Source organism: Homo sapiens, chromosome 16, assembly GCF_000001405.40.
Source record: "Homo sapiens chromosome 16, GRCh38.p14 Primary Assembly".
Classification (NCBI taxonomy): Eukaryota; Metazoa; Chordata; class Mammalia; order Primates; family Hominidae; genus Homo; species Homo sapiens.
This window is the reverse complement of record NC_000016.10, coordinates 72,761,211-72,774,988: the sequence shown is the minus strand read 5'-3', so window position 1 is coordinate 72,774,988 and position 13,778 is coordinate 72,761,211. Positions and strand designations below refer to the sequence as shown.

Here is a 13,778-nt window from a genome sequence, read left to right as displayed (position 1 = left end):
GAAATCAAGTACAAATGTGACAAAATGTTAATGACCAACTGAAGGCTAGTTCAGTATGGAATACCTAGGATGAGGGTGGGGACAGGCATAGATGAGTGAGTTTAGCACTCACAGGCATAGATGAGTGAGTTTAGCACTCACTTGCTACTCTTTTCTATGGGCCTCTACCAGGCCTACTGGAGGTGATCAGCTAATGTTAGGAAACAAGCATTAAGCACAGCCTGTTTCAGAGGACCTTCTCCCTTACAAAGCAAAAGCACTGGAGGAAGGGATAGCTAACCCTACTGCCCCATGGACACAGGCAAAAGACACTTTGTGGCGAGGAAAGAGGGTAGAAGGAAAAAACTCTACACCCCTAGGGCAGGGGCAGGAGCAGGAAAAGGTCATGGGTACAGGATCCTACACCAATACGCATCAGATATCTGCTACCACTAAGGGAGAAACAGAAAACTCTTGCCCAACACCAACAACTCAGAGTAGAGTTTGCTGCTATGGGGAGGAGGAGCAGGAACATGGAGAAAGTCCTTTTGGGAAAACTCTTGCTCAACACCAACAACTCAGAGTAGCGTTTGCTGCTATGGAGAGGAGGAGCAGGAACACGGAGAAAGCCCACTGCCAAGCCCTTTTGCCAGGGCCTGCCTAAGATGGATGCTAGACCTGGATCACCAAGAATACCCACTTCCTGCTCCTACCATGAACCTAACGCTGAGTGAGAAAAACCCACTGTATGATACCCAAGCCTCCACCCGAAACACAGGGCAGCAGCAGCCCACAATTAGAGGATGTGAAGTCTATGGTATACTGAGGTTACTCTTCTTGATTTATTGACTCAATCTCCTAACAAACAAAAAGCATGTCCCTATCTGGGCATAAATACTATTTACCTTACTCCCTACTGTTCTACACACAATGTTATAAAAAAGCAGCAACCAAACATCATGTCACTATCTATGGAAAAGTATAACATTAGCCAGGCACAGTGGCTCATACCTGTAATCCCAGCACTTTGGGAGGCCAAGGTGAGAGGATTGCTTGAGCCCAGGAGTTTCAGACCAGTCTGGACCACATAGCAAGACCTTGTTTCAACGAATCTTTTTATTAGGTAGCCAGGAATGGCGGCATGCACCTGAAGTCCAAGCTACTTGGGGGGCTAAGGTGGGGCGATCATTTGAGCCAGGTGTGGGGGCGGGGGCAAGGCTACAGTGAGCCGTGATTGGGCTACTGTACTCCAGCCTGGGCAACAGACCAAGATCTTGTCTCTAGATCCAACTATGAATTCCTAAGGTGTTACAGGCTGAATTGTGTCTCCCCTCACTCCCCACCCCAAATTCAGATGTTGAAGTCCTAGGAATGTGACTGTATTTGGAGCTAGGGTATTTAAAGAGGTAAACTTAAATGAGCTTATTGAAGTGGGCCCTAATACAACATGACTTATAAGAAGAAGAGATAGGGACACAGACAGGCCCAGGGATAAGACTACATGAAGACACCACAAGACGACAGCCATCTACAAGCCAAGAAGAGAGGCCTTCAGAAGGGCCAACATCTTGATTGTGGACTTCCAGCTTCCAGAATTGTGAAGAAATAAACTTCTGTTAATTCTTCCAGTCTATGATATTTGTTTTGGCAGCCCTAGAAAACTAATACAAAAGTTATATAGAGAATAGAGGAACACATTAAACTATAGCACAGGGATGCAATAAACCAAAAGTAGACTGTGGGAAACTCTCTATATTAAACAAAGAGATATCTTTTTCAAATAAATTGCAATGAGAATGAAGGCATTGGAAGGAAAAAGCTTATGCATTAAAATATACCTAAAAACCTTATTTTTAAAAACAATGGCAATGTAAATGTAATTGGATCCTGATTCAAACTATATATTTTTTAAAGTTACGATATTTAAGACAATTAGAAATTTGATCATGACTAGAAATTTCATAATATTAAGAAAGCATCATTAAAGGAAAAAGTACGAAATTTAAAGTCCCGGGCCCCTACAAAAGAGGATTCTAACAGGAGACACCTTACACAATAAACTAGGACCAAAAGAGGCTACAATCTTGAGGTAGCCTCAACGGGTAATCCATACATAGAACAGGCCTCATCCAGATTGACAGTCTGAGTTCCAATTCACCAGGAAATCCGTGGAATCTCAAGATTTAAAATTGGTTTTCTGGACTGATAGTAGCCACAGTTACCTGACACAGCAAATATAAAGCTTCACTAGCAGAAGGTACATTCATTATATACCTAAAATTATCTCTACAAATAATTTTCAAAAACACAGTATTGTGTCTGGAATTTATTCCTTTTGGTGGGTTCTTGGTCTTGCTGACTTCAAGAATGAAGCCAAGGACTCTCGTGTTGAGTGTTATAGTTCTTAAAGATGGTGTGTCCAGAATTTGTTCCTTCAGATGTTCAGATGTTCAGAATTTCTTCCTTCCGGTGGGGTCGTGGTCTCACTGACTTCAGGAATGAAGCCGCAGACCCTCGCAGTGAGTGTTACAGCTCTTAAAGGTGGTGCGTCCGGAGTTGTTTGTTCCTCCCAGTGGGTTCGTGGTTTCGCTGACTTCAGGAATGAAGCCACAGACCCTCGAGGTGAGTGTTACAGCTCATAAACGTAGTGTGGACCCAAAGAGTGAGCAGCAGCAAGATTTATTGTGAAGAGCAAAAGAACAAAGCTTCCACAGGGTGGAAGGGGACCCGAGTGGGTTGCCACTGCTGGCTTAGGTGGCCAGCTTTTATTCTCTTATTTGGCCCTGCCCATGTCCTGCTGATTGGTCCATTTTACAGAGTGCTGATTGGTCCATTTTACAGAGTGCTGATTGCTGTGTTTACAATCCTTTAGATGACACAGAGCGCTGATTGGTGCATTTTTACAGTGCTGATTGGTGCATTTACAATCCTTTAGCTAGATACAGAGTGCTGACTGGTGCGTTTACAATTCTTTAGCTAGACACAGAGCGCTGATTGGTGCGTTTACAATCCTTTAGCTAGGCAGAAAAGTTCTCCAAGTCCCCACTCAACCCAGGAAGTCCAGTTGGCTTCACCTCTCAGTATCAGCTCACAAAGATAAATAAAACACAAGGAAATTAAGACTCCATGAGTGAGAAACAGGAGACAACAGAAATAGAGCCTTAATGACTTAAATGTTCAAATGATCAAATGCAGAGAATGAAATGACTATGCGGAATATACCTGAAGAAATTTTAAAAAGAGCTTAGGGATGTAGTCACTGGACAAGAAAGTAACATTCAAATGACAAAAATACAATAACTAAAATTAAGGACTCAATGAATTTAACAGTGGACCGGGCATAGTTAAATAATTAATGAATCAGAAAACAGATCAGAAGAATTTACCTAAAATGCAGAACATAGAGAGAAAAAGAGAAAATACAGATGAAAGGGTAAGATATATAAAGCACATGGTGAGAGGGTCTGACATATATTCAGTCAGTGTCCCAGATGGAGAAGAGAAAGACAATGGTAAAGAGCCAGTATTTGAAGAGATAACAGCTGAGAATTTTCTAGAAATATTGAAAGAGACAAATCCAGAGATTCAAAGTACAATGGAAAGTAGAAGAAGAACAGGGAAGTAAAGAAAATAATTATATAGGCCAGGAGTTCGAGACCAGCCTGGCCAACATGGCAAAACCCCGTCTCTACTGAAAATACAGAAATTAGCCAGGCATGTTAGCACATGCCTGTAATCCCAGCTACTAATAAGGAAGCTGAGGCAGAAGAACCTAGGGGGCGGAGGTTGCAGTGAGCTGAGATCCTGCCACTGCACTCCAGCCTGGGCAACAGAGCAAGATTGTATCTTCAAAAAAAGAAAAATTTTACAAAAAAGAAAACAAAAGAAGTATACATATCATAGTGAGGATGCAGAAAACTGAGGCCAAAGTAGGCATAGAAAGCAGACTTGTTACCTTCAAAGAAATAGCTTTTAGATAGTCAATTGGTTATGCAACACAAACAATGGAAGCCAGAGGACAGTAGAATAATATCTTCAATATGCTCTAATAAAATAACTACCAACATAGAATCCTATACCCAGAAAAGGATAATTTTAGAATAAAGGCAAAATAAACACATTTTTAAATGAACAAAAACAGAGTTTGCCACTTGTAGACTGATTAAAGAATGTACTTCAATTAGAAGGAAAATGGTCCTAGACAGAAGATCTGATACAAAAAAGACATGAACATTTTAAAAATATTGAAACTGTACATAGGCAAATCTAAATGAATACATATAGTATGAAACAATAACTGTGTAACTTGAAAAAAACTATATAGAAATAAAATGCACAACATTAGCATTTAGATTAGGAGAGGGTAAATGAAGTTAAAAATCTTTTAAAGTTCTTGTTTTGTCCAGGAAGTGAGAATAATTATTATCATTAGCCTTTATATGTAAATAATGATGGTTTTAAGTCTTAGGCATTTATGAATTTGTATTTAATACTCAAAATTACAAGGCAAATGAGAGGCGAATATTCCATGAGTTCAATACATGGTCAATAAATTGAGAAGGCATTTTTGCCATAGAGGGGAAAACAACATTCAGAAAAAAGATGAATATATTTTAATTTTCAAAAATTCATTAGCAAAATAGAATATATCCATTAGCCAAACTTCAAACTCTATTGTCTTTAACAACAACAACAAAAATCCTTGAGTACTAATGTTTTTACTTGCTTAAGTCATATTTATTTAGGTATAATCAACATACAGAAAAAAATCATCCTTTTCAGGTACACAGTTCTATGAGTTTTGACAAATATGTGTGTGTGTAATCACACATATTTTACTGTGTAATCACCAGTAAATATAAAAATAAATACTAAATTGTTTCCATTACCACCATAATGTTCCCTCCTTTGTTGTTAATGCCCTTCCAATCCCCAGCCTAGGCAATGACTAATCTTAATCTGTGTTCTTTCCCCGTAGCTATGCCTTTTATAGGATATAATATAAACAGAATTATATAGTATGTAGCCTTTTGTGTCTGGCTTTTTTCACTAAGCATAAGACTTTGGAGATTCATCTATGTTGTTACATGTATCAGTACCTCCTTCTTATTGCAAAATAGTGTTCCATTGTATGGCTATGCTATGATTTAACTATCTGTTCATCAGATTATGAATATTTGGGTTATTTCCAGTTTGGGGCAATTTTTAATAAAGTTGTTATAAACATCCATGTATAGATCTTTGTATGAACATATATTTTCATTTCTCTTGAATAAATGCCTAGATGTGGGATCATATGGTAAATGGTAACACATAACCAGATAACACATAACTTTATAAGATTGCTACCTGTGGTGGACAGACTCTAAAATAGCCCCAAATTATCTTAGCCTCCTGGTATGTGTATCCTTGTGTAATACCTTTGTCTTGAGTCTGGGTGGAACCTGTAACTTGCTTCTAACCAATAAAATACATCAAAGGTGATGGGGTGTCACTCCCATGGCTGCATTACATAAGTTTGTAACTTCTCTCTTGCTAGTAGACTTTCTTCTCATCCTTCTTGGCTCTGATGAATTAAGCTGCCACATGGCACAGTCCAGTGGCAAGAAAATGAGGGCAACCAATAGGCAGCAATGAACTGAGGCTTTCAATGATAGAGGCAAGGAACTGAATCCTACCAACAACCACATGACCTTGAAAGAGGATCCTTCCCTGTTTGAGCTTCAGGTGAGACCCCAAGTGTGACTGACACCTTGATTGAGGCTTTGATAGAGTCCTTGAGGCAGGGGACTCAGTGAAGCTGCATCTAGATTCCTGACACATACAAACTGTGAGATAATAAATGTGTGTTGTTTTAAGCTGCTAAATATATATAACTTATTATGCAGCAATTGATAATACATTACCTAAATGTTTTCTAAAATGATGATACCATTTTACACTCCCACTAACAATGCATGAAAGTTCCAGTTGCTTTGAATACCACTAGAGTGATATTGTCAATTTTGTAAATTATAGTACTGCTAAAAGGTTTGTACTGGTATCTCATTGTGATTTGAATTTGTTTCTCTAATGTAGGAGTTCTTTGTATATTCTGAATGCTAGTGCTTTGCTAGTTATACATGTTGCAGATACTTCCTCTTACTCTGTGGCTTGCATTTTGTGTTCTTCGTAATGCCTTTTGATATGCTGACGAAGTTCCTAGTAAAGTCAAATTTATCAGCATTTCCTGCTCTCATAAATGATTTTTTTTTTTTTTTGAGACAAGAGTCTTACGCTGTCAACCAGGCTGGAATGCAATGGTATGATCTCCGCTCACTGCAGTCTCCAACTCCCAAGTTCAAACAATTCTGGCGCCTCAGCCTTCCAAGTAGCTGAGACTACAGTCATGTACCACTATGCCTGGCTAATATTTTGTATTTTTAGTAGAGACGAGGTTTTACCATGTTGGCCATGCTAGTCCCAAACTCCCAAGCTCAGGTGATCTGCCTGCCTTGGCCTCCTAAAGTGCTGGGATTACAGGCATGAGCCACCATGCCTGGCCTCATAAATGATTTTTTTTTTTTAAAGAAATCCCCCCTACCCCAAGGTCATGAAAATATTCCTCTATATTATCTTCTAAAAACTTTATTATTTTGCTAAAAGGGATTTTGGGTGTACAGTCTGCCTTAAAGTCATGCTACATAGAGGTCCAGTTTTATATTTTTTTCACACATGGATAAGGAGAAAAGATAGAAAATCTTTGTGACCTTAGGTTATCACAGATTCTTGGCTTAGTCACAGCAAGTAAATATCACAGAAGGAAAACTGACAAATTAGACTTGAAATTCAAAGCTTCTGCTCTTCCAAGTACATTGTTAATAACGGTACATTTAAGTCTTAAGCCCTTTTCTATATTTGTGTATTTTCTACAATAAAATGGATTTTAAAAAATAAAACATGCAGAACAGGTTACATAGTATGCTAACATTTATTTTATATGTATATATACTGTATCTATGTGGGAGTGTATGAGAGAGAGCATGCGTGTGCAAGCAAGCACACATATTGAATATAAGAGGGACTCACAAGTAACAACTGTCACTTTTGAGGAATTGGGAGCATCAGGGATGGGAGAGAGACTTAATTTGTATTGTATTCCCTTTTTACTGTTTGAACTTTATACCAAGTATATTACTTTTACAAAATGTGTTTTAAATGTTATTTCAAAAATAACAAAACAAGAATTACATGTTATGCCAGATGTGCCTAATATTACAGTGGGCCAAGAAAACTGGTCCATCTCAGGTTTATTTTAGTGAAGAAGACATTTAAATATAAATGTTGTTTCCTGACACCACAGCTTATTGCCTTGGGCTGTTTTGTAGCTGGTTACATCCCTGGTTTTAACTGGTTTGGTACAGTGATGCCATAGTAAAGTTTTATACACTAGTGATGAAAAGTTACTTGCGAACAACAAAACCCAACAGGTTATTTGACAAGGCTTAAAAGTATGCCATTGATCTACTTTGGGTTTCATCCTGATGTTTATTGGAGATAAAGGCATTTCTCTCCCAGAAACCTGGAGATTTACTCCTACTCATATCACTTAAATAAAATGGCAAAGCAAACCTACTAAAGCAAATGCCCAGAATCATGAGGTAGCCAGCCCAAACAGTCTTATGGCACTGTGGCTAATGCCTATAATCCCAGTGCTTTGGGAGCCCAAGGAGGGAGGATTGCTTGAGACAGGAGTTCAAGAGCAGCCTGGACAACACAGTAAGACCCTATCTCTACAGAAAATTTAAAAATTAGCTGGGCGTGGCGGTGTATGAAAGTAGTCCCAGCTACTCAGGAGGCTGAGATAGGAGGATGGCTTGAGGCCAGGAGTTTGAGGCTGCAGTGAGCTAGGAACATGCCACTGCACTCCAGGCTGAGTGATACAGCAAGACCCTGTCTTAAAACATAAACAACAACAACAAAAAAACCAGTCCTAAGCATTCTCTAAAAATTACTTGTTGTTTTGGATTGCTGTACGTGAATTACTGTGGGCTTTTTAAGTACTCACAAAAGCTTTTCTAGATGACAATACTCACAGGAGGAAAAATCGAGACAATCAGAATGAAGCTCCTATTTAGTAATGTGTTTAGTAATGTAGTAAAATTTTAGTAATGTATTAATGTTAGGAATATGAAAGAAAGAAAATTCTATGCAATAGTTAACAACTGATTCAGCTGAGAATACTTCACTTAATCCCCTTTCCTAAAGGCCCATTATGTATAGCTGTTGTTTCCACCACTAGGTCATCCCGTTCTATTCTCTTGCTTCATCCTCAGCTTGCTATCTCAAATCCTTTTTTGAATGAGGACTACATGTACACACTCCTCAGGCTTGCTCGCTTGCTTTCCTTTCTCTCTCCTTTCCTCCCTCTCTTGTGTATGGGAGGAATGGGGGTGGGTTAAGATCCCACTTCCAGTGACTGATTATAAATGCCCTTCCTTATAATACACTGAGGGAACCACAGGACATCTTTTCCTCTTCTATGAACTTCCGTAGTCAAAAGCTCAAGGAGGGTAGTCATGCTGCTCAAGCCTTTTTTTTCTTCATCTGCTGAAATGTTCTTTTGGTAAAACACACCATAACATAGTATGATAAAGATAAATGAAGGACATTTACTGAAGGAAATGAAATATTTTCGGAAACCTCACTTCTTATATTTCTTTTTCAAGAATGATCTAAGTCATAGTTTGGTGTTTTGTTTTTATTTAGTTTAAAGTTCCATTTGGTATAAAGACTGGCTATATTAACATACAAGAAATGGTGATTTCCTAGCAGGAATTTACACACTATTTCCTTCATTTTGATATCTAAATATAACCAGCACAACTAAACTCTATAAAGGTAAGCACTCAAGATCAGATTAATTTATTCAATTTTAGGTTTGGACTCAGCACTTTAAAGCCATGCTCTTTATTAAATGCCATGAAAGAGTGAATCTACAGACAGGCGAGATTCAAAGGCCAAGGGTATTTTTGTAAGTAACGACCTTGTTCCTGTCTTCTCTACCATAACTTTGAGAAATTATGAACAGTGTGAATCTAGAATACGATTTCTGATTGCCTAAGAAGAACAGAATGTTAATCTTGGCATTAATATGAGATATTTCAATCTGAAAAGCAGCAAGTCTTTCAGGATTCTAGAAAGACAGCCAAAGAAAAGGATGTCAACAGGAACACCAAACCCAGTAAAGACATATAGTCTGAGACATCTAGGACATCCACTTTGTATTAATGTGATAGTTCTTATAATGAGAGAAAATATTAAAAAAAAAAAAAAACCCAGGCCATCAGATGTTCTAAGAATGAAATATCGTATCTAATTATGTGACAGTTTTGCTACCAATATCTACCTAACAGTTCCCTTTCTTCAGATAAAAACCTCAAATTCTGCGCACGCGTGCACGCATGTGTGTGTGTGTGTGTGTGTGTGTGTGTGTGTGTGTTTAGAGACAAGGTCTCACTCTGTCACCCAGGTTGGAGTGCAGTGGTGCAATCACAGCTCACTGCAACCTCGATCTCCTAGGCTCAAGCAACCCTCCCGCTTCAGCCTTCTGAGTAGCTAGAACTACACGCACCACCGCCATACCCGACTTGCTTGCTTATTTATTTATTTACTTATTTAGCAGACAGTGTCTTGCTATGTTGCCCAGGCCAGTCTCAGACTCCTGGCCTCAAGCAAATGCCTAGAAATGACTGACTTGGACTGTTGCTGCCTTTTATTTACCTTTTGTTTGCTTGAAGCACTTCAGGACTTTTCTAGGATCTATCAATTGCTCAGCACCTTATAGGCTGTGCGGGATGAGGACTGGAGAAGTGGAGGACATCCTTATGAGATATATTTGTTTTCAGAGAAGGCTGTGTCTCTGTTTATCATTGCAGGCAAAGAAGATTTGAATCTGAGACACTGTAAAACTTGAAGCAGAGTTTACAATCTGTGCTTGAGGATCCCAAAGACACCATTCAACACATCTCACTATCCTCTAACAAGGACTGCCCTGTGACACATCTGAAAGAGAAGCAACAATTTTATTCAGACTCTTCATGGACTGGCCCTCTATTTGGGCAACTACATAATATGTAGATCTTTGATATCATATCTGAGAACAAAATTTTGTCAGCTGTGCAGGAACCAAATTATCCTGGGATATAGTAAAATAAACCACAAACTACCTTTTCCTATTTATCAAGCAGAGCAAAATGATATCGCTTCCTTTAAATCTGGGTTGTTTCCCTTTTTTCTTACCTAACCAGCCCTTCAACCTGGGGCTGGAACTGATTGGGACTTTAAAATGCTTTGTTACCATTCATTCTTTTCTCTAATAAGCACAATGGTTTACTCCCTTTTGAGGCAGGGGCCCCGTGTAATGAGTCAATGCTTCTGCTAACTCCAAGAACCCTTAATTATTTCCACCATTTTCTCCATATGTTTCCTTCACCGACTGTGCGAATCAGAGGCAGGCTGCTGGTTGTCAGAGACTGGAAAAGTCACTGGCCTTCCTTGTTGGCAGGGAACTGAATTCTGCAGGGTCTGCATTCATGGACAGAGTATCCTGTCTCAGAGTTTATGCAGCACCTTCTGTTTTTAGTTTACTGGTGAACGCGGCACATCACAAGAACTTGGAGTGCAGCTAAAGCCAAATCAGACTTGACAGAAAATTATTAGCAGGGTACTGAAGGAAAAAAGATCCCCCTTCCTTTCTGTAATCAGGTTAATATGTGCATGGAATGTTTCACTTAGAAAGGTAGTGTGTTTTGGCAAAGCTGGTTTCTTAAGTAAAATTTCAGTTCCCATTATGCGAGGCTATCCACTGCTGCTCTGGCAGAGCCTTTGATCAGTGAACTCAGTGGGGGAGAAGGGCATAGGCATATTAATAACTTCAACATGTGGCCCTTCGGCCCAGCTGCACCCTGTCTTGGAAGAAGGCCAACTGGAAAGGGTTTTCTTAACACGACCTGTATATGCATATTTTGGAAAGGGGAAAGGGAAGGTAGGGGTTCAAAGGAGGAAATAAAATCTGGTTTTATGGTGGTTCTTTCTCTTGTCCCTGTTACCTATTTGGGCCATTCTACTAGTACATATGTGGATCCTGTGGAATCTGGCTCCATTTTCAACTTTTAGTATCTTTGTTCCCCCTCCTATAATATTATAAAGATTAAACCTAGGGGTTTAATTTACACACCAGCTCAGGACAAGGTTAGGGGGAGGCATGAGGCACCATAAGAATCTACAGGGATGAGAGATTAATGGAAACCAGGTGTCCGAAATAGGAGCCCAGGGTCCATTTTGCCAGGATTGTATCTTTTGCCCTTTCCCCCCTGCCCTGGTATTTTTTTACTGTTTAATTTTAACAATCACAGAGTTTAGGCCTCATTACATTACTGCTGCAAAGTAGAGGCTAGCCTGCTCTTTTACTGTGTGTTTCCTTGTATTACTTCATATCATTCTCCTTTCATTTTCTACTTCTGAGAGGTTCATTTTCCATGTATCCCTGTCTGATCTTGAAAAGGTTCCTGAGTGACTCTTCATCATGGTCATGGAGCAGGCTTCAGTTCTCATCACAAGTGGCTTTGCAATGATGACCTCAGCTGACATTCATCTCACATTCTCTCACCCTCCTCCTCTTCTTTCTTCAATTTTATAATATTCTTATCATTTTCTTGATCCAAACCTCCCATGCTTTCAATTCCCTAGCTGCCTGATACCAACTTGTCACAAGGAATTAGCAGGGAATGATCCCAGAGGTGGGATGTAACACCTAAGGGCACTGTATAAGTTAGGGTACAGATTTGACTTCTGTAACAAAGGCCAAAATATTAATGGCTTAAGCAAGACAGTGGTTGATTTTTGTCTCATATAACAGTCTGAGCATTAGCAGCATGGGGCTGAAAAGATGACACCATCAATTCTGGTAGTGGAACTCCTCTATCCTTTTGCTTTCTGATTTTCAACACACAGCTTACATTTTGTAGTCTCGGATTGCTTCTCCAGTTCCCATGCCCACATTCCCATGTAGGGAGAAAAGTGAGGGGAGGGCACACTCCTTCCATTTTGAAGGTGTTAAGTTTTACTTATTACTTCTCATATCCCATTATCCAGAACCTAACCACTTGGGCACACTTAGCTACCAGGCAGAATGGGACATAAATTCTTTACCTGCTGGCTTTCTTTGGCACAGAAACCTACTTAACATTTTGTCTCAGACAACTATGGCAGTTGTGAAATTGTGAGATAGTTATAAAACTGAACTATCACAGTTATGTTATCTTCTTGGAAAAGGTGAGAATTAGAAGAACAAGTAACAGTGTAATGGCAATGTTTTCCTTTTGTTTTTGAACTACTCTTCTTTGATCATCTCAATTCATTTATTCCTTCAACAAACTAAGCTCTGGACCTATAAAAGCTCCCCCAACATAGACTCTACCTTTATGTATCTTCCCGCAGGCATGTGAAGGAGTCAAACAAAAACACAGGTGAGCATGCTGGGGATCGTGAGTTCAGTGGGACTCTAGTAAAGAGTTTCTACAAAGAGTGAAAGGAAAGAAGCTAGGCAAGAATGAGATTAAGATCAGGATAAGGAGATTCAAATTTATCCTATAAAAGGCAATAGCAAGATATCAAAGATAAATTAGCAGGAAATACAGGAATTAATTTCTTTTTTAAGTACAGAATTCCTCTATAAAAGAGATGCTTGATCAATGTGACTAAATGAAAAGTTTTTTAAAATTTGTTGGCACAAACATCATGAAAAAAATCAAAAGATGAATGACAAAATGTGAAAAATATTATCTACACATATGAAAGACAAGGAGCTAATATCCTCATATAATACAAAAGCAAATAATCTGAAGACCAGTAATCCAAGAGAAAAGTACCCAAAAGATAAGAACAGACCCTTCACAGAAAAAAATGATTTACTATTGACTTTCAAATAAAGGAAATAAGCTCAACCTTACATTAAAAAAATTAAACAATTGATACACCACATCCAAAGTCTGCTCATACACCATATTGGTAAGTATTGTAGGGAAGAGGCACTCAGGGCAAAAAGGGTTACTCAAAAGGAATGCTTTTTAATAATAATCGTTTTAAAGGTATACCCCACTATGGTAAATAGCCCCTAAAATAGCCCCCAATCCCTGCTTCCTGGTATTCATGTCTTTGTATAATCCCTTCTCCTTAAGTGTGGGCTAGACTTACTGACTCTCTTGTAACCAAACGAACACAGCAAAACAACTGAGATGTCATTTCTGAGATTAAGTTACTGAAGAATTCTGGCTTCCATCTTGCTCACTCTCTTTCTTTCTTCCTTACTTACTCTGAGGAAGACCAACTGCCCCACTGTGAGATGCTCTGTGGAGAGGCCCAAGTGGAAAAAAGTGATGTCTCTGGGCAACAGCCAATGAGGACGTGAGGCCTGCCAACAGTCACATGAGTAAGCTTGGTAGTGGATTCTCTCTTAGTTGAGCCCTGAGGTAACTGCAGCCCCAAATGACATTTTGATTACAGCCTTATAAAAGACTCTGAGTCTGAGAGTCCAGCTCAGCCATGCCCAATCCCTGGTCCACAGAAACTGTGAGATAATAAGGGCTTTTTGTTTGAAGCCACTAAGCTTTGGGACAGTCTGTTGCACAGCAAGAGATAACTAATACAGACTTTGGTACTTGGAAGTGGGGTGCTACCTTGGCTTTGGAACCAAACATGGGCAGAGGCTGGAAGGATTTTGAGGATTCTGTTAAAGAAAGCTTAAGTTGCCTTGAAAG

The 13,778-nt window shown here is 39.2% G+C and overlaps 1 long non-coding RNA gene across 4 annotated transcripts in view, besides 1 other annotated feature; it reads right to left on the bottom strand.

Moving 5' to 3' along the window:
- The window catches only part of ZFHX3-AS1 (ZFHX3 antisense RNA 1), a 156,522-nt gene that overhangs the window by 46,666 nt on the left and 96,078 nt on the right, over window positions 1-13,778 (bottom strand). The window lies entirely within an intron of this gene.
- Window positions 3,058-4,257: an enhancer, noted in NCBI's record as "BRD4-independent group 4 enhancer chr16:72804631-72805830 (GRCh37/hg19 assembly coordinates)". NCBI's record gives its function as "activates an origin of replication core promoter dependent on BRD2, P300/CBP, MED14 and CDK7 cofactors, and independent of BRD4, by STARR-seq in HCT116 cells {active_cell/tissue: HCT116}" and the evidence as "EXISTENCE:reporter gene assay evidence [ECO:0000049][PMID:35650434]".